This window comes from Homo sapiens, chromosome 8 (genome assembly GCF_000001405.40).
Source record: "Homo sapiens chromosome 8, GRCh38.p14 Primary Assembly".
Lineage (NCBI taxonomy): Eukaryota > Metazoa > Chordata > Mammalia > Primates > Hominidae > Homo > Homo sapiens.
The window spans coordinates 24,489,669-24,517,511 of NC_000008.11; the positions used below are offsets into that span (position 1 = coordinate 24,489,669).

Sequence of the window (27,843 nt, forward strand, 5' to 3'; positions counted from 1 at the left end):
CTCTTACTCAATCAAGTTTTATTTATTAACTTATGAGGCTAGCCTGTATCACAGCTGGACAGTTCCTGTTAATAGAAAACTCTTTCTTAATAGAGCAGAAACCTTCAAATGTTTCATGTATTTATTGTAGTTGTGGTCTCTGGAACATTTAGGAAAAGCCCTTGAGGCAATTTTTAAAGTAATTCTTAATATGCTTTTCCCTATCATAGAAGCTATTTCTTTCAAGAGCTTATCACATAGATATGTCTTCTAGACAACTGCCTCTGAAATTAATAAGTGCAGATGAATCACCAGGGGACATTGTTAAAATGTGAACTCAGATTCAGTAAGTATGGAGTGGTTCTGAGATTCTGTACACCTACCTAGCTTCAAGGTTACACTGATGTTGCTGGCCCGAGGACCACAATTTTAGTATCTACAGTCTAGATAATGCACAATACCAGGAGGTCTAGTAGGACAGCAGTTAGAGACTCCATAATCAGACTGGGGACAGTAACCTGTCCAAAGGTTATAAGAATGTCTTCAAATGTCTCAGGTTAAACGCAAAGAGGCTCTTAATTTTGGAAAATGATCCTCCTGTCCATATGCATTCTTTGGAATGGTTCCATAGATTCATTCTAACACATGAGGTACCTTATCCGGCCACACTCCATTTTCTTTGAGTTTTTATTTTGTTTGAGAAAATAGGGCATAAGTTACCATTTTGATGTTATTTAATGATACATTAAAAAATAAAAGTCAGCCTGAAATAATGGACAGCTTGAGCAAAAGGTAAAATCAGATCTTCAGCAGTTGAATAGTCTCACATCACACTTCAGTACAGGGAAGCAGTATGACCCTTCAAGGAAATGGAGATAATTAGGATAACTGAAGATTATAAATGTTGGACTCTCTAATTCTGTCAATGAGAATCCATTACCCGTAATGTACCAAACAGCACGAGAGAAGGAGAAATAGTTAAAGTCCCAAATACCCGTTCTAAACAGTAATCTTTATGTATGTACCACAGCCAACAATCATGCATCACTATTTAACTCTATCAGAATCCACAGAAGCACAACTAATTAATTCTTCAAACAGGAGTCAGAGTACATACCAATTTCTCATCTCTCTTTTGTGGTTATTGCCAGGAGTGTACTAATCCTTGCTGTGATGCACACACATGTGTACTGAAGCCAGGATTTACTTGTGCAGAAGGAGAATGCTGTGAATCTTGTCAGGTAAGGTCATGTGCCAGGAGAAGGTTTTTTTTTTTCAGTTTAAGAATATGTAGGATCCAAGAGTTATCTAACCACTGGACAGCCCTGCACCACTGACTCCAAAATGAAGCTAGGCTTGCAAGTACCCAACAGAGATTCTTGTGAGATGCTCCAACATCTGAGCATTGGGCTGTGCTATGGCCTGGGGTAGTGGAGAAACATCAAGTAGCAATTGGAGGTTTAGGAGGGAAGTCACATGACCAGCTCTATTCTTGCTCCTTTGTAAATAATCACCAATCTGTTTAACCTCATCTAGGAGGATAGTTGAAATCCCAAGGGAGAGCTAAAAGGGAAAGGGGTTATATTAGCATTGGAAAGTGGCAGTGGCTAGTAAGTGGAGAAACGTTCCCGAGGAAGACAACCAGAAACCCCAATGGCTCTGTCCAAGAGTTTACTGACACTTCTTTCACTCAACTTTATTGTGAATTCACAAAGAAAACAAACATATCTTATGCATCTTCAAATTCATCCAGAACCCAGCGTAATTAAATTCTTATTGAATGGCTGAATGAGAGAATATCTCTATGCAGTTCCCTCTAGCAGTGAAAGCAAGGGTATTTTTCTCCAGTTCATATGCAGGAATCTGATTTATTGGGACTGGAGATTTCCTCATTATAAGCAGGGGTTCCCAATTCGAGGTGGGTAGGGGGTAGGCAGGGTATGTACTGGATCCCTTGGGACAAAGAAAAGACAAGATAAATGAGAACACCTGCCCGTTTCTTCATTTGATGTACATCCCAACTCTCCCTAAGGCTGCTGTAATACCAAACTTCAAAAACATCATTTTGTCATTCTTAAAATTACATGAGTGCCAACACATTGACAAATGACAATGATTCTTGATGGAATGGAGAAGGAAGCTATGATCCATCCTTAAAACCTTTTTTGGATGAATGGGTCAACTTTCTGTCTACTTACGAAACCTTACCTACCTAAATGTATCCAGGATTTAGTCTCTTTGTTTTTCCTCAACAGATAAAAAAAGCAGGGTCCATATGCAGACCGGCGAAAGATGAATGTGATTTTCCTGAGATGTGCACTGGCCACTCGCCTGCCTGTCCTAAGGACCAGTTCAGGGTCAATGGATTTCCTTGCAAGAACTCAGAAGGCTACTGTTTCATGGGGAAATGTCCAACTCGTGAGGATCAGTGCTCTGAACTATTTGATGATGGTGAGAGATAATCACAGTGAAGTATTCACACAGATGGTGGCCTCTATTTCTCTGTTATTGCCCTGTAGGAATTGGGTCAAGATCAGATATAATGTCATTTGTGGCATTATTCCAAGATATTGCTTAGCATTTCTCTGGATATTACCTGTCATATTAGTTGATCTTACGTCTAATATTAACTATCTCAGTATATGAGCTATGTATATTTGTTACTGTTTTATATCTCCAGCCTAAAATATTCTCCTGAGGCAATAGGATAGTTTTTAAATAATTTATTCCATTCTACTTCACTATGACATGATTCTGAAAGTTTAATTACATTAGAAAAATAAGGTCTTTTATGATTCATGATAGTCATGCTTTATTGTTTTACTTTTATACCATTTTTTACCCCAGAGGCAATAGAGAGTCATGATATCTGCTACAAGATGAATACAAAAGGAAATAAATTTGGATACTGCAAAAACAAGGAAAACAGATTTCTTCCCTGTGAGGAGAAGTAAGTGCCCTGTGGAAAAAAAGTAATTTGCCTTCTTACAGCACTTTGTCAAAATCAGAATGGCTCCTGTCCCCAGACCTGTTAATCTCTTTTTACTGAGACCGGGAGAAGAGGGAAATAAGAAGGAAATCTTGGTGTCCTGATTAAAATTATGCTAATTCAAATTACTAATAAAAAAATATTCCCCTGTAAACTTAAGCCAGTATTGACTTGTGAGGTTCACAGGGAAATCCAAAGGAAATATGATCATTTTACATTTTTTACGGACTCATCTCAGTTCCCAGGGCCAAGACTTTGCTCAGTGGTTTTCTCTGCCCATTACAGCCTCCTTAACTTGGCAAGAAACCTGGATCTAGAAAAAGAGTGACCGGGAGGCTCCATTGCCAGCCTAGTCTCAAAAGTTGTATTTCTAGTTCCAAGTTTGAATATTCTGCCTTTCCTTCAGAGATGTCAGATGTGGAAAGATCTACTGCACTGGAGGGGAGCTTTCCTCTCTCCTTGGAGAAGACAAGACTTATCACCTTAAGGATCCCCAGAAGAATGCTACTGTCAAATGCAAAACTATTTTTTTATACCATGATTCTACAGACATTGGCCTGGTGGCGTCAGGAACAAAATGTGGAGAGGGAATGGTAAGACAAAAGCCCTTTGTTTTATTAAAACTTCTTAGTTCAATCCTTTAAAAACATTACTGGATACTGTAATTGCTTCCAAAGAGGTCTAGATATGGAAAAGGAAAAAATATTGACAAGTATTTTTTTAATGAGGAGCAGAGTAGCAATAACACTGTAATAAACATCCATTTTGCCTAATTTTAGTCATGCCAAATGACCCATAATTGTTACAGATGTGCTTAATTAGTAAAACTTACAGCAGATATCTAATTAGACATGGATTATAGACATGGATTTTTCTAATTAATGTGAGTATAAAGTAGCCTTACATCTTCATTTATTTTATTCATTCACTCATATTTACTAGCCATATACTATGGTGCCACTGACTGTACACTAAAGGTAAGCATACATGAGAATTTCATACAGTAAAAATTACATGATTACAGTTCAAAAAATTGCTTTCTTAGTGGTGTGACCAATGTATATTGATGTCTAAAGGAAAAGTGGCTGACTTTGCTCAGAGAAGATGAAATGGCATCTTAAATGAGTAACATTTCAGCTTTGACTTGAACATTTTAACACACAGGAAATGGGAGAAGACATTTTAGCAAAAAATGCCTGCACAATATGTAAAGGTACAAAGTGTATGGCATAATTCAGATGACCAGCAATTTCAGAGTGGCTTGACCTTTGGGTTAAATGGCAAAAGATGAAATTGAAGAGAAGACAGAATGGGTCCAAATTGGAAAGAGTTTTTTATGGCAAGATGACAACATTAGAATGCATACTCTAAACAATAGCTGGCTCATAAAGAATATATGGAAAACACATGATATTTTACCCCTAAAATCAGCTATTTGAAACTGAATAGGTTCTCTATGTGATATGTCTTCCCTTCTCTCTCTACACTATCACCAAAAATATTACAGTGACATTTGTACAGTGTGATAGAGAAATACATTGGAAAACCAAAGTTCAGAATGTAAAAAAAAGAACTAGAACTAAATATTTAATAGCGACTTACATTTTGAGTCTATATATTTAACTATCCTACTTCCTGTTAAAATCATTAAATGAATATCAACATGCTAAGAAAGCTATGTTTGTGAAAATTAAGGTATGTATGCTAACCACAAGCTAAAAAATTCAAAGGTATTCAACAAGACTAAGTGTGAAGCCTGAGGTTGAAGAAAATACCAAAAGATTTGCTATTCACCTCAGATACGAAAAACCAGCCTGAGATACAAAGTGCTTCCTTCTTTAAGAGTGGCAAGGACTGAAGAAAGGGGCTGTTAGAAAGGCAGTTGTGAAGGAATCCATCTCCATCTCCCAAGTACACTGTGACCACGTACTCCGCATAGAGAGCTTATTCCTTCAAGAGAAGGCTTAGGGCAGAAGTACATCCATCACAGTGGTGCCAGTTCTTCAGCCAAATTCTAATGAGGAAATTCATGCATAGTTAATGCCAGTCTATGTAGGTATCACAATGATGTGAGTGAAAAAAAAATCTCTTTTTGGCATTGATATGCTATTTTTAGACTATGAGCTATGTGGGACCTTATTCAAATCTGTTGTTTTAGCAGGGCTTCTCTAAAACCAAAGGACAAGAAAAGGAGTAGGCTAACGAGATGGAAAACATTTTGGTAATAATTGCCCCACTCCAACCAAACAGCAGGGAAAAATTCTATGGTCTGACTCCTCCTGCATCAGCAAGGATCAAGTGGGAAGCCTAGACTTCCATTTTCTTCCAGCTCTAACAGATGCCCTGGCTCCAGACAGGGTTTCAGTGGAGGCTTATGGGGAGTCAGGACATTCACCACAGCTCAGTGGTGATGAATTCTTCCAACCCCAGTGTCATGAAAGTATGTGAGGAGGCTGGGTTTCCACCCCAGCTGGCGTGAGTGAAGCAGTGATTCTCTTCCATAACAGGAATGGTTTTAGAGAAGATCTGCTAAAACAACAGATTTGAATAAGATCCTATAGCTCATAGTCCCCAGAGTATCCAGAATACAAATGAGCCACTCTTCAAACAAAGAACCAGGGAAATCTCAATTGAAATGACAAAAGACAATCTCTAGATGCAACAACAAGGTGACACATATGTTGAATTACCTGACAAGGAATTTAAAGCAGCCTTTACAAAAATGCTTCAGTGAACAATTATGCACACGCTTGAAATAAATGAAAAAAATAGAAGGTCTCAGCAAAATAACAAACTTCCAGAAAAGACGTATAAAATATAAGAGCCAAATGGAAATTTTAGAACGGAAAAATTACAATACTGGAATAAAAATATTCAGTGAATGAGTTCAACAGAAGAATGGAGGGAACAGAAGAAAGAATCAATGAATGTAAAGAAAAAAATAAAAATTATTCAATCTCAGTTGCCATTTCAAGTAAAGGTGAATGTAAGGTGAAACAGGAGCAAAGATGACTCTTGTTATGTTTTAGCAAAGAGACTGGTAGCATTTTGCCCCTGCTCTAGAGATTTGTGGAACTGTGAACTGAAGAGAGATGATTTAGGGTATCTGGTGGAAGAAATTTCTAAGCAGCAAAGCATTCAATAGGTGACTTGGGTGCTGTTAAATGCATTCAGTTTTATAAGGGAAGCAGAGCATAAAAGTTCAAAAAATTTGCAGCCTGACAATGTGATAGAAAAGAAAAACCCATTTTCTGAGGAGAAATTGAAGCTGGCTGCGGATGTCTGCATAAGTAATGAGATGCCAAATGTTAATCCCAAAGACAATGGGGAAAATGTCTCCAGAGCATGTCACAGGTCTTCATAGCAGCCCCTCCTATCACAGGCCCATAGGCCTAGGAGAAAATGGTTTAGTGGGCCAGGCCCAGGGTCCCCGTGCTGTGTGCAGTTTAGGGACTTGGTGCCCTGAGTCCCAGCCACTCCAGCTGGGACTAAAAGGCTCCAAGGTACAGCTTGGGCTGTTGCTTCAGAGGGTGGAAGCCCCAGGCCTTGGCAGCCTTCATGTGGTGCTGAGACTGCAGGTGCACAGAAGTCAAGAATTGAGGTTTGGGAACCTCAGCGTAGATTTCAGAAGATGTATGGAAATGCCTGGATGCCCAGGTAAAAGTTTGCTGCAGGGGCGGGGCCCTCATGGAGAATCTCTGCTAGGGCAGTGTAGATGAGAAATGTAGGGTCGGATCCCCCACACAGAGTCCTTGCTGAGGCATTGCCTAGTGGAGCTGTAAGAAGAGGGCCAATGTCCTCCAGACCCTGGAATGGTAGATCCACCCACAGCTTGCACTGTGCACCTGGAAAAGCTGCAAACACTCAATGTCAGCCCATGGAAGCAGCCAGAAGGGAGGCTATATCCTGCAAAACCACAGAGGCAGAGCTGCTCAAGACTATGGGAACCCACCTCTTGCATCAGTGTGATCTGGATGTGAGACATGGAATCAAAGGAGATCATTTTGGAGCTTTAAGATTTGACTGCCCTGCTGGATTCAGACTTACATGGGGCCTATTAGCCCCTTTGTTCTGGCCAATTTCTCCCATTTGGAATGGCTGTATTTATCCAATGCCTGTACCCCCATTGTGTCCAGAAAGTAAGTAACTTGCTTTTTGATTTTACAGGATTTTAGGTGGAAGGGACTTGCCTTGTACTGAATGAGACTTTGGACTGTGGACTTTTGAGTTAATGCTGAAATGAGTTAAGACTCTGGGGGACTGTTGGGAAGGCATGATTGGTTTTAAAATGTGAGGACATGAGATTTGGGAGGGGCCAGGGACGGAATGATGTGGTTTGGCTGTGTCTCCACCCAAATCTCATCTTGAATTCCCACATTTGTGGGAGGGACCCACTGGGAGGTAAGTGAATCATGAGAGCAGGTCCTTCCCATGCTGTTCTCCTGATACTGAGTAAGTCTCATGAGATCTGATGGTTATTATAAGGGGGGATTTTCCTGCACAAGCTCTCTCTTTGCCTGCTGCCATCCATGTAAGATGTGACTTGCTCCTCCTTGCTTTCTGCCAAGATTGTGAGACTTCCCCAGCCACGTGGAACTGTAAGTTCAATTAAACCTCTTTCTTTTGTAAATTGCCCAGTCTCATGTATGTCTTTATCAGCAGCATGAAAACGAACTAATACAATGTTGAAAGATTTCCTCCTTTATCAAGAAAAATTTTTTGAATGAAATTTTAAAACATATTAAACCTATATAAAAAAGTATAATTTGAGATCAAAGAGCATTGCCTTCAAAGTACAAACCATGATTACTGGTTTATATGTAATGTGGCCAGTAAACCACTGAATTGGATATTACAAAAAAAATCAGTAAGTTAGAAGCTAAACTTCTTAACACAATAACATAAAGGAATGTTAAAACTCAAAGAAAATAAATAAAACCAGGAAATAGAGTTCTAAAAAATTCATTACAGATTTAATATGAAGTCTAAATTAAAAACACAGAAGAGAGGTGAAAATATAGTTAATGAAATAATCACAATATGTCCCTAATCTGAAGAATGTATGAAAAAATTCACTTAGTACCAGGAAAAATTTATAGAAAGAGATGAAGGCTTTTACTTACCCTCATGCCTTGAATGTCAAAAATAAAGAATACATGCCATAAGCACAAAAGAGAAAAGGTCATTAATTTGCTACAGAAAGAAATATCAGGTTACCATAATACTTCTCTGCAACAAGTATCCAGAAGACAATGGAGCAACATCTACAGAGGTTTGGGGAACATAATTGTTGGGACCCTAAAACTATATTTACAGCCAAGTTTTTATTCAGACAGAAAAGCAATGCAATGATACTCTCACACATATTATAACTAATAAAATATATTGTAATATATAGACTGCACCTATTTTTTGAAAAGAAAAATAGTCAAGAACGTATTCCAGCCAAGAGAGAAATAAATTTAAATTTAGAAGGTAAAATAAGGAGATAGGATATTAAAGAAATGATTGCAAGCAACAAACTCCATAAGACTTTTGAGTAAATTCTAGTTATTAATTATAATATTTTTATTACAATGATGTAAAAAATCTCAGGAATAATAAATAATTTTGACAATGTAGTATCTGATTTACTCAATCAAAAACTTGAATTGAGAGAAAGAGGAAAGAAGTAAAAACATGATAAATTTCTTATCTTGCAAAAGGAGGAGTTAATGTTGATTTTTTCTTGAAAATGATAGAATTATTTAGATTCAAATATATTAATGTAAATCAAATTAATCTTTAGAAATTAGCATATATAGCTTTCAAATTAGAGAAAACAATAGCTGAATAAAAGTGATAAATATAGTAAAAGGTAAGCCACAATGTCTAATGTTGGAAATCAGGTAAATAAAATGAAAGGACTAAGAGTATATATATATATATCACTTATTCCAATAAATATAGATGTATTAAGTTCTCCCTACAGAAAATGTAAATATAATCTTTGAACTGGTGGCAATAAATGAATGTTTAATTATAAATAAAATGTAAAATAACATTTAAAAATTAAATAGATGAGTAAGGATGAATCACGCAAAGACCAAAAATAACAAAACCAATAATATTTTAGTGATCAAATTTACCAAGAGAAAGGAAAATTTAAAGCAAAAATATTAAACACAAATAAGATTAATTGATATTAATAAAATGACCATCAATTGTGGTATAATAAACATACATTGCTAAACCAAAAGAAAAACTTCATTGAAACAAAAGAAACTGTTGCAATTACAGTTGTAGAATCTTTGACAGATTAACGCTGAAGTAATTACTCAGAACATAAACATTTTAATAACTAATGAGTTTAAAATATTTCTTTGCATGTATAGTACACACCCCAATCATCTATAGAGGATTTCTCTATCCACAGAAAATACTACATGTGGAATTTTACAGTAGGAAAAATTACATAACTTATAATTAAATCATGTAAATTGAAATTTTTCATATGTAAATTACATGCAAAATTGTGCACTTCACATGCATTACATGAAATTACAATTTCACATCAATTGTAAGTCATTTTAATTCATGCTTGGTTACTTCATTTCTAGGTGTGCAACAATGGTGAATGTCTAAACATGGAAAAGGTCTATATCTCAACCAATTGCCCCTCTCAGTGCAATGAAAATCCTGTAAGATATGACTGCTTTCAAAATTAATGTCTTATCAGCCATATATTTACTTTATTCCCCAGCCTATATGTGCATGTATATGTATGTATATATGTATTTTTGCTGCTTTCTAAATCAAATATATATTTGGGATTCATTTTTTCATGTGTTATCAACAAAATTTATCCAAGGAGCAAAATCACATATTATTATACACAGATACAGCCAGTATTACAAGTAATGCTTTCATTATTGTACTGGTTATCTAGAAATTCAGTGATTCATGTATGTATAAAGTTTAAATCTGATGTTTAAAGTTGAATCTATTGCAACATATCTTATAGTTAAATTACACCAATGTCAAGTTAAGCTTTTGAGAAAATCAGCAAACATTGTATATTTTTTACAAAATAATATATTAACACTAATACCAACAATTACTAACAGTTAGTGCCTAACATCGCTCATAAGCTGGGTTAATCAGTAACACTTATATAGTAATACACACACACACACACACACACACACACACATCACACATCACACACACACACACACATACATATCAGGTTACCATATTTATCATATATATCATATATTTACCTGGAAAGATAAATCATGCTGTCTTGTTCATCTGCCTTTGAATTTGTCAGTATCATTCTCTTATTCACAGGCCGTTTTCAAAGATGGCTGCTTCTTGTATTTTGTTTACTTATTTTTATACATCATTGATTTTGTTACACAGTTTAATAAACGAATAAAAAGTTCGCGCTTGTGCTTGTGTGCATGTATGTTTGATGTAGAGGTAGCACTAAAGTAAGTGAGTTGCAGAACACAACTTATATCAGTCATTTGAGAATATATCATTGACTGCTCTTCCAGGTGGATGGCCACGGACTCCAGTGCCACTGTGAGGAAGGACAGGCACCTGTAGCCTGTGAAGAAACCTTACATGTTACCAGTGAGCATCCTAAAACAAAATCTTTCATATATCAAAAGCCTACCCAGCGAAAAAAGTTTTTCTTATTTTTCAAGTCTGCTACTTATTTGCTGTGTTTTGATATGGATTTGTATGGTCTTCATATTATTGTGCATGAATACCCAAATTGATTTTACTGCAATTACCTTTTACAGCAATTCCCTTTTACAGCCAATGTAGTCTCTTCTAGCTAAATTAAATTTTCTTAGGTATCCCACAAACCCTCAACACACAAGGGCTTTTCTATAGTTATTAACTGACAATCAAAACTCTTCCTGATGATTGTGGTTCCCTTAAATATAACGGAATATTGGGTGGAGTGTCAGTTGCAAATACAAATGATAATTTGTATAATGTTTGGGCTTTTTACTTTACATAAAAATAATTGAGAGGAAAGGAGAATTGAAGTTCTATAGAAAGGAATAAGGAGCATTGTAACAGCTCCATTAAATGTTAATATTCCACTGTTTTACAACTGATACCCTCGATGAAGCCCATGTTTCTTCATGTTGCAGATATCACCATCTTGGTTGTTGTGCTTGTCCTGGTTATTGTCGGTATCGGAGTTCTTATACTATTAGTTCGTTACCGAAAATGTATCAAGTTGAAGCAAGTTCAGAGGTACATTTACATTTTTCTATGTGTTGAAGAAGGGAATTGTTACTGAGAATATGTAAGCTTTGTGGTTATAGAGGATATTCAATGGGGGGAAGTATAAGCTTCTTACTGAAGATCAGGTAAGAATAGTAGTAACTCAAGCTTTTATGTACTTGCTCATATCCAGATGCTAATATCAATGATTCCCAAACTTGTGCACATTGAAATCACCAACAGGTCTTTCAAAAAATACTGATGTGGGTTGAAGACATTGTGATTTAATTGTTATTGGGTATGACTTGAGCATTAGTATTTTAAAAATCTTGTAGATGATTTAATTTTAGCCATAAATGTATCCCATAGTTTGTTTATCCCATAATTTCTGATTCTTCCCACATCAAGAATCAGGTGACATCACTGAAGATTGTACAAGTATTAAGTTGATAATTAGACAATATAAAAAAGCATTATTTCAATATATTTAACATTGTAATGAAATGGAAATTTTTGAAATATAAAAATTACTAAAGCTTACTCATGAAGAAATAAATAACCTGAATAGCCCTATATCTAATAAATTAGTTGTTCAATTTCCTTCTTGACAGCCCACCTACAGAAACCCTGGGAGTGGAGAACAAAGGATACTTTGGTGATGAGCAGCAGATAAGGACTGAGCCAATCCTGCCAGAAATTCATTTCCTAAATGTAAGAAACTTCCATTTGCAACAGTTAATTTATTGATTTTTTTTTTTTAAGTAGCTGAATGTGTTTAAAGTAGAACCCGTCCTAAGCTAAGTGACATGGGAAGTGCAGAGGAGCAATTTAACATGGTTCCACACACATGAAGCTTTGAATCTACATGTAGGGAAAGGAAAGAGGGCAGGATTCAAAACAGATATGGAACAATAACCAAGATACTATATCAGAGCAGAATATATTGGTTTAATAACATACTAATTTGTGCACTATTGGAAAAATTTACAAGCATAAACCACATGATGGGCCATAAAGCAAGTTTTAACAAACTTAAAAGAACTGAGCTGGGCGCAGTGGCTCACGTCTGTAATCCTCACACTTCTGGAGGCCGAGACAGGCAGATCACCTGAATTTGAGATGAGCCTGGCCAACATGGGAAACTCCCTCTCCACTAAAAATATAAAGACTAAAAAACAAGAAAGAAAAGAATTGTAGCCACACAAAATATATTCTCAGAATTAAATTACAATAGAAGTAAGTAATGGAAAGATATCACTAATTAGAAAAATTCTCAGTTGAAAATTAGATAATGAATTCTAAGGAACTCAACTTTCAAAGGAATAATCAAAAGGGAAATTAGAAAGTGTTTTAACCTGAATGAAAATTAAATACCACGTGCCAAAACATGCAGGTGTAGTAAAATCAGTAGAGGAAAATGTATAGCGCTTATCTGCTTCTGTTTGAAAAGAAGAAAAATAAAAGATCAATGACCTCAGCTTTTACTTTAAGAAACTAGAGAAAATAAAGAAAATGAAGCCCAATATATGCAGAAAAAAAGAAAAAGTAAATATCAGATTGATCACTAATGAAATAGAAAACAGAAAAATAACAGAGAAAATGTATTTTGAGAAGATTAATAAATTTTATAAGCCTCCAGCCAGTCTAACTAGTTAGTACATATTATTAACATCAAGAATCAGAAAGGCAACATCAATGAAGATACTATAAATATTAAGTTGATAATTAGAAAATATTATGAAAAACCTTATTTTAATAGTTTTGACAGTGCAATGAAATGGAAATTTTTGAAAGATAAACATTACTAAAGCTTACTCATGAAAAACAGATAACCTGAATAGCTCAAGTTAAATTTGTAGTAAAAACCTTTCCACAAACAAAAAAATATTTGACCCATATGGCTCTACTGGTGAATTCTATTTAAAAATTCATGAATGCATAACACTAATTCTACATAAACTTTCCAGATAATTGGAAAGAGGGGGAAAATTCCCAATTTATTTTATGAGGCCAATATTTCTCTGATGCCTACCTATAAAAGTCATTACAAGAAGAAAAAGCACTACTAACTAATACACTAACAAATATAGGTGCATGAATTATTATTAGATGTTAGCCAACTGAATCTCATGATGAATGATAATGCATCATGATCATATATAGAGGATAATGAATCATGATCAAGTATTACTGCAATAATGCAAAGAAACTTTAACATTCAAAAAAGCAATGAGGCTAACTTACTGTATTATCAGTGAAAGTGTAAAATCATATGATCATATCAATAGAGGCAGATAAATTATTTGAAAAAATTATGTCTATTCCTGAGAAAATTCAGTAAACTAGGAATGTAAGCAATATATGAAGATCTAAGAAAAATGTTGAAAATCCTGCAGAAGTCCCTGCAAATCACAGCTTGTTCAATAATTGTAGCAACAGCGATAATTTCCAATACATTCAGCTCACTTAAAAAACTGTTAGAATGGTGATCATTAAAAAGTCAGGTAACAACAGATGCTAGAGAGAATGGAGAGAAATAGGAACACTTTTACATTGTTGGAGGGAGTGTAAATTAGTTCAACCATTGTGGAAGACAGTGTGGCAATTTCTCAAGGATCTAGAACTAGAAATACCATTTGACCCAGCAATCCCATTACTGGGTATATACCCAAAGGATTGTAAATCATTCTACTATAAAGACACATGCACACGTACGTTTACCGCAGCACTATTCACAATAGCAAAGACTTGGAACCACCCCAAATGTCCATCAATGATAGACTGGATAAAGAAAATGTGGCATATATATACCATGGAATACTATGCAGCCATAAAAAAGGATGAGTTCATGTCCTTTGCAGGGACATGGATGAAGCTGGAAACCATCATTTGCAGCAAACTATCACAAGAACAGAAAACCAAACACCGCATGTTCTCACTCATAAGTGGGAGTTGAGCAATGAGAACACATGGACCCAGTGAGGAAAACATCACACACTGAGGCCTGTCGGGGGATGGGGAACAAGGGGAGGGATAGCATTAGGAGAAATACCTAATGTAGGTGACAAGTTGATGGGTGCAGCAAACCACCATGCCACGTGTATACCTATGTAATAAACCTGCACGTTCTACACATGTATCCCTGAACTTCAAGTACAAAAATAAAATAAAATAAAATAAAATAAAATAAAATAAAATAAATAAAATAAAAAAACTGAGTGGCCAGGCACAGTGGCTCACAGCTACAATTCTAGCACTTTGAGAGGCCAAGGCAAGAGGGTAATTTGAGGCCAGGAGTTCTAGACCAGGCTGAGTAATATGTCAAGCCTTTGTCTATATAAAAAAAGAAAAACAGCCAAACATAATGGTGCACACCTGTAGTCCCTAGCTACACGGGAGACTGAGGCACCAAGAACCTCTGGAGCCCAGGAGATCCAGACTGCAGTGAGCTATGATCATGCCACTGCATTCCAACCTGGGCTACATAGTGATACCCTGTCTCAAAAAACAACAATATCAACAACAATCAAGACAAAACCTGTAAGGAAAGATCAAGAAACTACAAAGGCATTAGCTTTAAAAAAAAAAATAGCTGATGAAGAAAGCATCATTTTTGAAAAGATTATCTCTTTAAAATGATGAAACTGCCCATTAGGATTTAAGTCATGAAGAAGGGATCGAAAGGCCCAAATTTTAAGGCTAATAATTAACTGACTCTTGCTAGATGCAAGTGCCAATAAAAATATTATATTGCCAGTATTTTAAAATCAGGATATTTTTGGTTGGTGGGGTGGTCTGGTTACGTAGTTCCAGAGGTTTCGAATGCTTTGCCACGGCTTTAGGCATGCCATAAGCCTTGTGATTTTTACTGCACAATATTGCAGAGCATACCCCCACTCTATCCCCCAGAACACATATATGACATTTTAGTGGAAATGCCTCTGATGAATTTCACTGGCATATAGAGATAGTGAATCTTTCTCTGGTTATATATGTTAGTTATCATTTTTATCCATTTATACTCTTTATTATGCCAGATGTGATTCCAAGAAGGTAAAACCAAGTCTTAATTGTCCATTAGAATGGACAAAATAACAACGTGTGATTTTTTTTAAGTTTACACTGAGATTTTCAGGAAAGAAACCGCATGATGCTAATGTAATTCTCATTCATTTGTCTTGAGGTTTAAATGAGAAATTGTATGTAAATATACTTAGCACAGTGATTGGTATACACTTAGCACTTAATATGTGTTATTTTAATCTACGATGCCTCATGTGCTGTTGCAGTTACTTTCCTAATTACATTTTCCTTAAATTAATACGTTAAAATAGGTGGACTTCCAGAGAGATGAGTCAGGAAAGGTAGGCTGAGTACTGCTCAATGATGAATAACCATAGAGCGTAGGACATATTTGTTATGATTATAGATCCTAAGCTTCCTTTAAGGGCTTTTGGTTTTTTGGTTAAATGAGGGGCACCTAGAAGAGAAGATGAATAAATATCTGTTGAATATGTGAATAAATTCAATTTACTGTTGATGGTATATACACCATGATATTAACAGAGATAGGAGAGTTGGATCCTCAAACATCACATTTAGGGTTTTTGTATTTTTTGGCATGAAGTATTATAAACAATAATGATTTAACTGATGCTTATTTGACACAGTTATCCATCAAAGACCAGTCCTCAGCAAACCTGGGGTTTGGGGGAGGTCCGTCTTTGGCGTCTTTTACCTATTACGTTAATGATGTTTGTTTTTTGTTTGTTTGTTTTTTCTCTCCCTGCTCTGGCATCCAGGTCCTCTCACAGATCCTGCTTCCATTGGACCATGCTTTCTAGTTGTATTAATATTTACTGGGGAGTTAACAGAATGCACTTTAAAGAGGGAAACTTAATTTAGGAATTTTTGTATTTTAATAGGAAATTGTGGAGTTTCTCAAAGACATTCAAGGCCCAAAGGAATGTGGCTGGTTAGGGAATTTCAGGCATACAGTCAATTAGCGATAGTAAGATTTGGTGGCTAGCAGACCTGCCTCATCATATTCATATCACAATGTATAAATTCCCACTCTTCTCATATGTAAATTTGTCTTATAGACAGGCCCTGAGATAGACTCATATGTTGTAGGATAACAATCTACACAAGAATATTATGTCTGGGTCTTTCAGTATTGGTATATTTACTAGGAATTGCAGGTTAATAGTATCTCTTCTTACTAGCAGAGAACTCCAGAATCCTTGGAAAGCCTGCCCACTAGTTTTTCAAGTCCCCACTACATCACACTGGTACGTTCCCCTCCCCTTCCTCTTGGTGGTGGGCTATGTCCTTTCCAATAATAATTTTCATGAAACTTAATCATTTGTTGGTTCCTTGAAAAGGACCAATAATATAACATCGATAGCTCTCTGATCGGAGGTAGAAATGGGACACTCTGACACTCTGGCATAGAGACCTACTTCTTAACAGGGTGGGGGTTAGGGTGAGGAGAGTGAAGTGAGCCAGGCAAGTCCTAGGGCAGACCCAAGTTTTTGTTTAAAATGTTGGCATTTTGTTCACCATGATACATGCATTTTCTTGCAAATTAATTTTGATATTTTAAACTAACACATTAGCACAAAATTTATCTTAATTACTGAATTAGTTTTCTCCCCTTAAATTCTGCCCCTGAGACCAATGCTTCACTCACCTCACTCTAGTCCTGGCCCCTGTTCTAAAAGGTAAAACACAGCAATGGTTTTCAGTGAGTCCTTGATCAGCCAGAGGGCTCTCCCCTGGAACCCTCAGTTAGATGAAGCTGTGTAATCCCTGCATCTTTATTTATAAGGGAGAAACAAAATATTAGCACATATTAGCACACACATGCATTAGAGACTGAGTCAAAGCACACACACACACACACACACACACACACACACACACAAAATAGAACCACTACAGGATTTCTAGGAATTGCCCAAATGACTAGAATCTCTATCTCTACATCCTCAAGGTTACTCAGTAGAGCACCTCTTACTCAGAACTGGGCGCTGAATACACACAGATTTTCAACTTTGTATTTTTAAAAGCAGCCATTCTCATTAAGCTTTCTTTATGGACGACTAAAACGCTGTGATTAGTTGATTAGTTTCTAATCTGTGGTTGCAGAGAATCCTCAGATCACACAAAAGGATTACAGAAAGTGGCAGACAGCTGGGGGAGTTGTATGAATGAATTCTTCCTTGAACCCGGGCAGTCCATGTTTAAAATCAATTTTACTGAGATTCCAACAGAGATGTTATCGGAATGAAAGTGCTAATACTTTAAAAGTGTTTGAAAATCTCTTACCTAATATATTCTAGGGAAGATTCACAGATTTTACAACCAATAATGGTTTCTGATACAACTTTGCTTAACCAACACCATCTATCCTCCTCTCCCTCAATCCCATAGGAATTTACAAACTGTCTTAAGCAATTTACAAACTGTCTTGGATTTTTCATGGAGCAAGCAGAGGTGGCCTGCGTGTGTATGTGCTCATGTGTATGTGTGCACATGCATGTCTGTGTGTGGATGCCCATGCGTGTAACATCTGATGTGGCACATGATACAACATAATTTATTTATTATAGAAACCTGCAAGTAAAGATTCAAGAGGAATCGCAGATCCCAATCAAAGTGCCAAGTGGTAGGTTACCCTGACAGATAGTACCTCCCTTTTTTATTTTTCAAATGCTGGCATAGTTTTGTGTTCTTTACCAACTCATTGATTTACTGGGGACATCCTCTGTACTTATCACAACAGATTAGGAAGGTTAGAATTTTTTTTTTTTTTTGCTGATATGCTTAAAGTTCTAATATATAATTCTGCTAAGGATGTTTTAATCAAAACTTTCTAACCGGACCAAAGGAGCAATCCAGAATTCAACAGTGCCACAGTCTCAATACAGGTTAGGAATAACGAAAGCAGCACTATTCTTTCAGACTTTTGTTGGTCAGAGTATACATACCCACAGGTTTTCTTCAAGTATGTTAAAAGACTTCGTAATGTTGGGAATCACAGAAAAGGAACAGTTTCCTTCATGATTCCTTTTTTAGATTTTTCACTTATCAAATCAATAAATGGAAGGGTTGATTTCACATTTGACTTAGTATGTCTATATTAGAAAATTTATCCAAAAATTGTGATTTATGTCAAAGGGAAAGAAAATGAGCATGGCTTCAGTACATTTTGAGTTTGTTTTCATTTCTTCCTCCTTTATTTCTGCTGAGTTTTTACAGTGCACTAGGCACTGGATTAGTATGAAGATTCCTTCCACAAAGCGTTCTTATGAGGTGTAATAAGATACACCGCCCACCTCCACCGAAAAGCAGGGCATTTTCTAATGATCTTTCCACTCCACAATGACAAACCTGTCCCACAGAGAGTAGAGAGTGAAGACACTCCTTAGTGCCAGCAAACTGTTTGGCATCCCATAATGGAAAACAAAATTATTTTCTTTCTTTCATAATAGGCCTATTTATTTTATAACTGCTTAATTAGCAATGGCTAGGGAGATCTATAAAAGCATGAATAAATGTAGGACTACAGAACACAGAAAGGTTATTCTAATTAGTAGATATAAATGAGTAATGGAAATACATGGTTCACAGATTTCATAGGAAACAATCTATTTTTAACCATCTGTTTCTATTTAGAGCTTGAAGTTGGATATCCAAAATGGCCGTGCAAGCTTAGGCTGGGGATTCTGGATGCAACGTCTTTACAACCTTACCTAGATATCTGCTACTCACATTTTTGGTAGTGTTTCAAACGTTCTTTATCCAGACAGACAATGTTTAAGAGAAACAACTTATTTCTGTTAATATTTACCGGTAGAATTCACACCCTCTATCATAAACATATGCTGCAGAAAAAAAATGTCTTGTGGTCTTTCAAATGCTCTTTAGCACAATATAAAAATTCGTAACCTTGCTGTAGTATTTTCCTACAAAATGTTACTCTGCTTTCTTTTAAGAATCCAAACTTTAAGGATGATAACTTACAGTCTAAGAAGAAAACATTGCATATAAAAAGTTACTTTTTTGGAAACATAAAAGTACGTTTTAAAACTTGAACATGACATCATTAGCACTAATTCTGGTTTAAATGAAAGTCCTGCAGAAATGCCAAAGAAGGCAGGGCAGAGCGGCACGGATTCTAGGTAATTAAAAGTGAAAGAGGCAGAAGAATAGTGGACAGAACTGCAGGATAGTCCTTAAAATAATGGTGGTGGGAAAGGAAAACACAGAATGCTCCTGGCAATTCTAAATTCCTAGGTTTGCCTTTCTAGAATTCCTTAAGAAGCTGACAGAGAAATCAGAGGGTTACAAGAATTTCAGAAAATTTACTCCAAGTGAGAGGACATACTCACAACTCCTATGAAGGGTTTCTAAGGTCTTTGTCCTGTGCAATTTGACAATGTGCCATTTCTGTGCTGTCTCTGCCCTCTCCCTATCCGTTTGTTATGGGATGGGGGATTACCCTGGGAATGATTTCAGCTGCTTCTTACACAGATGCCTCTCAAGGTGTTCTTTTGTGTCCTCTATTTTCTTCTTGTGAACTGTTAAAGCTACATGCATTATTTTTTTTCCATTTACTGAAATAAAGTTTTCAAGTTCTAAATAAAAATATTCTGACTCGATGAAATAAATAAAGGCTACAAAAGAAGGAAGAAAGGCTGTTGTCCTTGTTGACATTGTTGTTGCTCTGCTGACTTGTTTTTCTCCTGGAGCGGAGCCTGCCTGCAGCACAGCACAGCGGTGACTCAGCACTGGATACCACAGGAGCTTTCCTTCGGCGTCTGCTGTTCTAATCAAAGCCGCCACTTTAAGAAAGGGTGTTGACAAATGTGTACTCAAAGCCAAAGAAACTAATTTAAACGTTTTATGTAAATTTGAGGGAAAAAAAAAAACCCAGAAACTCCACATCTGATATATGCTGGCCTCATTAAAGCAAACAATAAGCCTCTGATGTCCAAAATTAAGGAACAACCACATCTTCATATTCTCCTGAACACTGCATATGTGAATGAACAAAGCACATTTTGATGATATCGTATTTCCTTTATAAAAAGGATCACCTTTCTGATTCATTATTTTTGTATTTCCTCCATATCACTTTCAGACAACATCACCTCTCCCCATTGCTTCTGTCTTGGGCTCCATATTTAACTAGCTGCTACTTTCTGGTGAATTTTTTCCAAGTTCTTCTCTCTCCAATAATAAACATGTCTTGTACCCCCTCCGTTCTCCCACCTCGTTGCTTCCTGTTCAGATCTCTTTAGCTTTCTAATTTGCTTCCTTTTCCTTCCAACAACCCCAGAAGCCTCTGACAGTTAGGCCCCTTTTCAATTTTAGGTCACGTTCTCCAAGTTTGTCCATATGTAGACCCCAGGCCTTAGGACTTTCTATTCCTTTTAAGTGCTGTTAGGAAGCCTCTCCTTCCAATGTCTACAGAGCAGAATCAAACGTCACAGCTCCTCGTTACTTGTTGACCCCTTGTCAGCCCAGTTCTGCCATGACTGTGGAGCCAGTTACTGGCCGTGATTTCCCAGGAATGGACATCGGGAGTCCCTGCCCCATACATGGACATAGCTGGCACTTGCCCAAACTCAACTTGAGTTTGTTGTGTTTTGAGATGCTGTGTTTTAGGGTATGGGGTTGTCCTTGCAGTTGGGTCATGCCCCTCTGCTCTGAACAGACACAGATTTATATGGAAGCAAATGATCTTGCCCTTTAGAGCCCATAATATGTACTGCCCTTTTCAACACCATTTATCTAATTTTGTATTTACATTTTTAAATGGCCTTCCATAGGCTGGATTTGGGTTGGGGAGGAGAAATCCAAAATATTTATAAGCAAAAATGCTAAAACCTATGGAAAACAAATAGGACAAAGATGTTTCTTGGCTATCCTGGGACTGGAGGCACAGCTAAGGTGAGGCAGCTGAGGTGAGGAGTGGACTAGCCAGGGATGGAATTAGGGTCACAGTTGGGCGGTGTTCTGAGAATGAGAGAAGCATGGAAGGGTTGCCAAGCTCTCCACTCACCCCTGCGACATGCACAGAAGTGGGTACCCGAGAGAGCACCACGGAGAGTAAAATCCAAGAGAGGACTGAAAGCTGATGGGCTTTGATTACACTCCCAACCCACACAGAGATCAGTGGCCTGAGGGCTGAAGTTTTACAGGCCCCCGGGGTTTAAGCAAAACCTCTGTCCAAATTACTGACCCCTATAACCTGCCAACCCCAGGGCAACCCATAGAAAAACAAGATAACATATAAAAGTGAGAATTAAAACCTGAGCAGAGATGTCCGTGGCTATACGCTTCAAGCAGAGATGTCCGTGGCTGTACACTTCAGGAAGGGAGTTAAGGGAGAGGATGGGGGAAATCGATTGTGCAGTTTAAGTCCAGCCCAGCCACTTTTTAAAACACTCCAAACAATAAATTGGAATCCACACTTGCTATAAGATATTATCAAAATGCTGTTGTGCCAAGGAATCTCAATGCACATATTTACATCAGTTCTGCCAGGAACACACCAATGACAACACAAAACAAAACCTTCACTGACGGATGACCTATCATCAGCATTCCCAATATACCAGCAATTATTCTCAAATATCAGCCATCTCCCCACAGCTATTCTGCCTTTTTCTCAAAGTATCTGTCCTGCCGGATGATTCTAGAATTCAGAAACTCACATCGTATATGCTAAAATTAAGAAGTCATATTCCAAGAAAGATAATAACTTCTTTATTAGTGGGCAATTGTCTGTGTACCTGACAATGCATCAGCGACATCCATGGAAGAGCCACTAGGTGGCCACATAGCTAACAAAATTCTTGTTAGCTAGAAAACTGCTCCAGGCTGCTGCTGTCCCTTTTCCAGGTAGCACTAGGCTGTCAAAATCATGACTTTAAGTAAATTTCTTAAGGAATTTGATCAATTCCATTCTTGATGATTCCAGATGGAAATCTTGGTGAATTGTTTCAAACACTGCTTTCGTCTCTGGCAGAGTTGTGGATGGAAATAGGCAAACAGGAACCATATCCCTAAAACGAAAGGGGAACTGGGTTCTCAGCTAGAAAGCTTTGAATGGAGATTTTAGACTGGAAGGATAAATCTTCTTTACTCTCAGTTATGAAGCCCAATCTTCTTGACATTGGCATTTGGATAAACCCCAAAAAACCCAGGGTCCTTAAAACTACTGCGAGTGGGTGTCTAGTTTTTGTTGTTGTTTAATTATATATTATCTGTTCCTTTTTTTTTTGAAGGCCATCAAATTAGCTTGGCCGACTGCTGCCATGGAAACCTGAAGTGCTCCCACCTCCCAGGGGATGTATAATGGATGGTGAATGTCAGAAGCCTGCATCCTGTGTTACTTATCTGACATTGTGGTGGACTGTTGATGACAACTGATGTCCTCTACTAATCATCACCATTGTGTGAGAAATATTGATTAGATTCCTAGGCTTTTTGAGAAGCTTCCTGATCACTTTCTAATTGAAGTTCAGGCTTTTAGGAAACTCAAGAGCTGATGTATAGGGAAGTGAGGGTCTAGTGGGCTGGACAGAATCCATTAACATCTGTCTCCAGGAAAAGTTGTAATTGTGAGACATATGTAATGGGTATTGATTGCTAAGGAAAGAACATACATATAACTTTAAACCTTAGAAGTCTCCAAGGACAAAAAAAAATATGGAAAAGGGGGGGTCTTTGGGATTGCAGGAATGCTGGCTGGGAAGAAATTGTATCAGAGCTGTCTTAGAGGATCTTAGATAAGTAAATTCAAAAGCCAAAGTCTCTTGCCCAAGGATACGAGAGATATGCTACTACAGCAGCTAGAACAAACAGCATTTCGTGAGTGGACACTATTTGTCAGAGATTATTCTAAGCACTTCATACGTATTATTTCATTTAACTTAAAACAATGAGTTAAATACTATTACTATTTTCATTTTACAGCTTGGAAAACTGATATGAAAAAAGTCAAATAATTTGCCAAAAGAGACAACTGATTAACTAGTATAGTCACAATTCTAAGCCAGGAAGTCTAACTCCAAAGAGTATGCTTTTAATCATTATTATGCTACTGATATTAATACAACTTTGACAGGAAGAATGCACAGCCCTCACCCCCAAAATTCAGAACTGTGTAAATATCTCACTCCCATTCTCGTCTTCCATCTACCATCCACCATACTTCCCAACCACAGTATAATGGTGCGTGAGTTAACATATCAGGTAGGAAGCGCAAAGCTAGGCAGCTGTCACCTCCCAATTCAGCCAGAGCATGGCTGAGATGTTTTTGTCCAAGGAAGAACTGTATTTGGGGATGGACTAAAACTTAAACACTCTTTGAAGCCCTCATTGGCCACTTCCTAGCAGACACTTTGGGATCCTTGAATCTTTCCCTTGTGTTATAGTGACCTCAATTTCTGGATGATCCCTTCTTAATAGAATAGACCTCTACTTGGGTGGTGCTTTAATTCAGCTTAGTGTGTTTGGGCAAGCTGTCTGTTGCTGTCTCTGCCATCACTGTGCATAAAAGGGAAGACGGTGGGTCAGGGGATGGCAGCGGCCAATCAAGAGATAACAGCCCTCTGCTAAAGCTTCCTTCCTTGCTTTAATCAAATGAAGAATGCACCAGATGAGGGTCACTTGGAACACATAGGGAAAGGTAGAATGCCTACAAAGAATCTTCCAGACCCCATACTACTGCATTTCCATGAAATGCACAAGGTCCATGGGAAGGATTATTTTACAAATGAGGAGGCTAGGGATTAAGAGGTCCTCAAACACACAGCCAAGAAATGGCAAAACAGGAATCACAGGCCTCAGACCAAAGCCACCATCCGAACAGTAACTCATTCCAGTTTTAAAAGTGACAGCATCACAACTGGCCACTGGATGACCTCAGAGTTCAATCCTGCTAAAAGTAGCTTTGGATTGAGACCATCCTGGCCAACAAAGTGAAATCCCGTCTCTACTAAAATACAAAAAATTAGCCAGGCATGGTGGCATGCACCTGTAGTCCCAGCTGCTCGGGAGGCTGAGGCAGGGGAATCCCTTGAATCCAGGAGGCAGAGGTTGCAGTGAGCTGAGACTGCACCACTGCACTCCAGCCTGGCGACAGGGCCAGACTTTGTCTCAAAAAAAAAAAAAAAGTAGCTTTGATGTTGAAAGGGGCTGGGTAGTAGAGATCAGTTAGTGGGCCCTCCCCAATCCTAGCCAAAAGGAGCACAGTATCCATTTCATTTTCACATCTTCAGGTTCTTCAAAGTCATGCCTAAAGTGGGGAAAGAATTAAAAGATCTACTGTCATTCTAACAGGATTCAAAGAGAGGAACCACTGGATGGAAAAATGTGAATTATTTTAGACAAAGCCTTTAGCATTTAAAATACTCCTCATCCCATAATTAATCTATTCCTTTCTCTCACGTTATCAGCATCAGTGCCTTGATATCAAAGTGTATGTCAATAAGTCACAGAAGGGAAGATAATAGTTGGAGTGACCTTCTGAGCTTCTAGGTTGTTCTACCCTCTCCCTTAAAGTCCTGGCTCAGGGGTGTGCCTCCTCAGGTCCACCAGGGAAAGCAGCTGTAGAGTAATCTGATCCTCTCCAAAATGTCCGTGACGCTGTCTCTGAAGAAGGACATTTCCCAAGTTTAAGCTATCATTACCTACTGCAGTCTTCTGTCTGGCTGAAGGAAGGAAGAAATAATCTCCTAAAGTGGCACATTGTGCAAATCTGATGCGTCAATCTTGAAGCACTGCCAAGCAATTCAGAAGAGAAATAAATCAATTCATTCCATCTCCTTAATGCTGCCGTGTCTAACAGGTTTCTATGCTGAAAATATCACCAGCTGGACACTGTGACACTTAATATTGCACCTTCAGAAATGAATTATCAGGCACAAGCCCAGTCTGATGTCATTCTCCTTCCCTGGTTCACTTGAATCTTCAAGAGAAAGAACACTCAGGCTCAGAAGGAACAATGATAAAATGGTAGAACAACATGACATCACCTCCGCATCACAAAACAGGCAAAGTTATAATCCTCTTCACTAGGATCCCTCTGTGACTCCTCTAAACAGAAACAATAACAAAAAAGCAGAGGCAGAGATTAAGCACACTTACAGATTTCAGAGGGGAAAAAACTTAGAAAAGTAAAAAACGAATGTGGACTGATGCCATGTAGGTTCTATTTACTTATCCATTAACGTCTTTGTTCAACATGTACTCATCGCATACTGGCTGTGTTAGAGGTATTATTCTAGGGACATGTAGATATGTAGGTGTACACAGCCCTGCCCTGAGAAAACCAAGCTTTGTGAGCAAGCAAAACAGGCTTCTAAATGGATGGTCATAAATTATGTGATGTCTGTATCAAAACATCTCATGTATCCTCTGAATATATATACCTACTCTGTACCCACAACAATTAAAAATTAAAAGTTTAAAAATAAAATACATTGCCACATATACATGAAAAATGAAATTCTGGAAAAAAATTAGAAAAATAAATTAATGTGATACATGGCACCAAAGAGGAAGGCAGTAGGTGAAATTGCCCAGGGGAATGAAGAGGAGGCTTCTAATGCTTGTTGGAATGGAGAAGGCGTCAGAGAGGTAACTTTTAATCAAGGTCTTAACAAAGGTACAAGGGTTTGCCAAGCAGAGAATTAACATTCCAGGGAGAAGCAGCGAGTCTAAGCATACCTGAGTTTGGTAGGTCTGATCACAGAAAGTAGGTTAGTGTAGTTATATCATGAGGTATATAGGAAAGCATGGTATGAGAGGACATTAAAGACAGGCTGCATTGGATATTCTATGCTGTGGTTATCTGTTGTTGTTTGAGACAAGGTCTTGCTACATGGCCCAGGCTGAAGAGCAGGGGCATGATCTCGGCTCACTGCAACATCTGCCTCCTGGGTTCAAGTAATTCTCTTGCCTCAGCCTCCTGAGTAGCTGGGACTACAGACGTGTGCCACCATGCCCAGGTAATTTTTTAATTTTTTGTAGAGACAGAGTTTCACAATGTTGGCCAGGCTAGTCTCAAACTCCTGGCCTCAAGTAATCTGCCTGCCTCAGCCTCCCAAAGTGCTGGGATTACAGGCATGAGCCACTGTGCCTGGCATGGTGTGGATATCTTAAAGGCAAATGACTTGGTAAAATAACTTAAATGAAAGTAACAAGGTAAAATTTGTGTTTTAGGGGGGAGAACTGCATGATTTTGAAGGTTGGATAAAAGAAGGCTACTGTACTGTCCAAGTTAGAAGATATGAAACCTCAGAGAGACTGGAGTAGTAGAAACATAGATTAAAGGAGGGCTATAAGAAGTTCTTTTTTGATTGGATAAGGGAACAGGGATGAGGTCAAGGGCAGAGTTGATGCTGTCTTCCATGTTTCTGATTTGTGTAGATGAAGTTTTATGGGTTCCTTAACCAAGAAAAGAAAGTAAGAGAGAAGCAGGTTAGATTGGAGATGACAATGGAGCTTAAGTTTGATGCATTTTTAACTTTCTTATGTAAATAAATATAGTGAATTAATATAACAATAAAAGTATACTGGTAAGTTTATGTAATCAAATTGGGGTAACTGAGATACCTATCATCTTAAATATTGTCTTTTTTTAATGCGAGGAACACTCAAGTTATTTTTTTCCAGCTACTTTGAAATGTACAATTGATGAATGTTAAGTGTAGACACCCTACTAATGTATCCTGAAAATATGTACACGTATATCAACCAAAAAATCTAAAAAAACAAGTATACTAAGAAATACTCAGATAAGTTTTCCTAAAAAAATTACTTAAAAATACGCATTCAATTTTACTCAGTTATTGTGTTAACAGTTGACTATCTAGAACTTTGGACTAGGAGCAGAGGGTATATAGTACAGTGTAGGTTTATCAAATATTGTTTTAGATTTAAAAGAAACGTGTTCCTTTTATAGGTTTTGAAAACAAAGCCCAATGAAGTTAAACAGCTAGTGGAAAATAAACAAGATGTGGATAATTGTGTAAACAGGACCCAACTCTCCTAGCTTCTTATGTAGTACATGGTCCCTGCTCATCTGCAGACTCATTGGTGAGATAAAGACTATTAGGCTATTCCAAAAATTCTCTACAAACCCCAAAGACTTTATGGCTCTCCTGAATAAGCCCCTCTGTGACTTTCACTCTAAGCCCCAATACAGGCCTCTCAAGGAAGAAAGTTAAGGTCCCCTGAAGCAAGAAAGTCATTTTATTTGAAAAGACAGAATGACAATTTTATCCTATTCTACCCAACACAATCTTCCTTGTTTCCCCATCTTGGAACACTAAGTCCGCTGCAAATGTTTAATATCTTTTATATCTTCCATGTCTCTACTTAAATTTTTGAACATATTGATTATTATTTTAATGAGTGTTCTGAGCCTAGTCTGCTAAATCAAACATCTGTGTCTGTTCTAGGTTAATTTTAAGTTTTCTTTTCATGTAAGACCCCCACTTTAGCTTTACCTTTTGCAATGAGTAAAAGCTCCCTGAGGCCTTGCCAGAAGCAGAAGCTGCCATAATTTCTGTAGAGCCTGTGGAACTGTGAGCCAGTTAAAACTCTTTTTTTTTTTTTTTTTT

At 37.5% G+C, this 27,843-nt stretch overlaps 1 protein-coding gene and 2 long non-coding RNA genes across 3 annotated transcripts in view; 1 reads left to right on the forward strand and 2 right to left on the reverse strand.

Annotated features, from left to right (window-relative positions):
- The window catches only part of ADAM7 (ADAM metallopeptidase domain 7), a 68,540-nt gene extending 48,643 nt beyond the window's left edge, over positions 1-19,897 (forward strand). Inside the window, exons 13-22 of the mRNA NM_003817.4 lie at positions 1,131-1,220; positions 2,235-2,430; positions 2,827-2,929; positions 3,375-3,561; positions 9,568-9,648; positions 10,510-10,588; positions 11,122-11,227; positions 11,809-11,908; positions 17,812-17,867; positions 18,878-19,897. Of these exons, the coding sequence (NP_003808.2) occupies positions 1,131-1,220; positions 2,235-2,430; positions 2,827-2,929; positions 3,375-3,561; positions 9,568-9,648; positions 10,510-10,588; positions 11,122-11,227; positions 11,809-11,908; positions 17,812-17,867; position 18,878 (999 nt within the window). The 3' untranslated portion in view covers positions 18,879-19,897. The remainder of the gene's footprint in view (positions 1-1,130; positions 1,221-2,234; positions 2,431-2,826; positions 2,930-3,374; positions 3,562-9,567; positions 9,649-10,509; positions 10,589-11,121; positions 11,228-11,808; positions 11,909-17,811; positions 17,868-18,877) is intronic.
- Positions 1-27,843, reverse strand: part of ADAM7-AS1 (ADAM7, ADAMDEC1 and ADAM28 antisense RNA 1) — a 252,805-nt gene that overhangs the window by 193,855 nt on the left and 31,107 nt on the right. The gene's annotated exons all lie outside the window — the stretch shown is intronic.
- ADAM7-AS2 (ADAM7 antisense RNA 2) lies at positions 644-25,200 on the reverse strand. Its single transcript, NR_125809.1, has 5 exons — positions 25,118-25,200; positions 24,907-24,996; positions 22,003-22,275; positions 2,192-2,492; positions 644-838 (listed from the first exon to the last, which is right to left on the reverse strand). It is a non-coding gene; the product is annotated as an ADAM7 antisense RNA 2 (long non-coding RNA).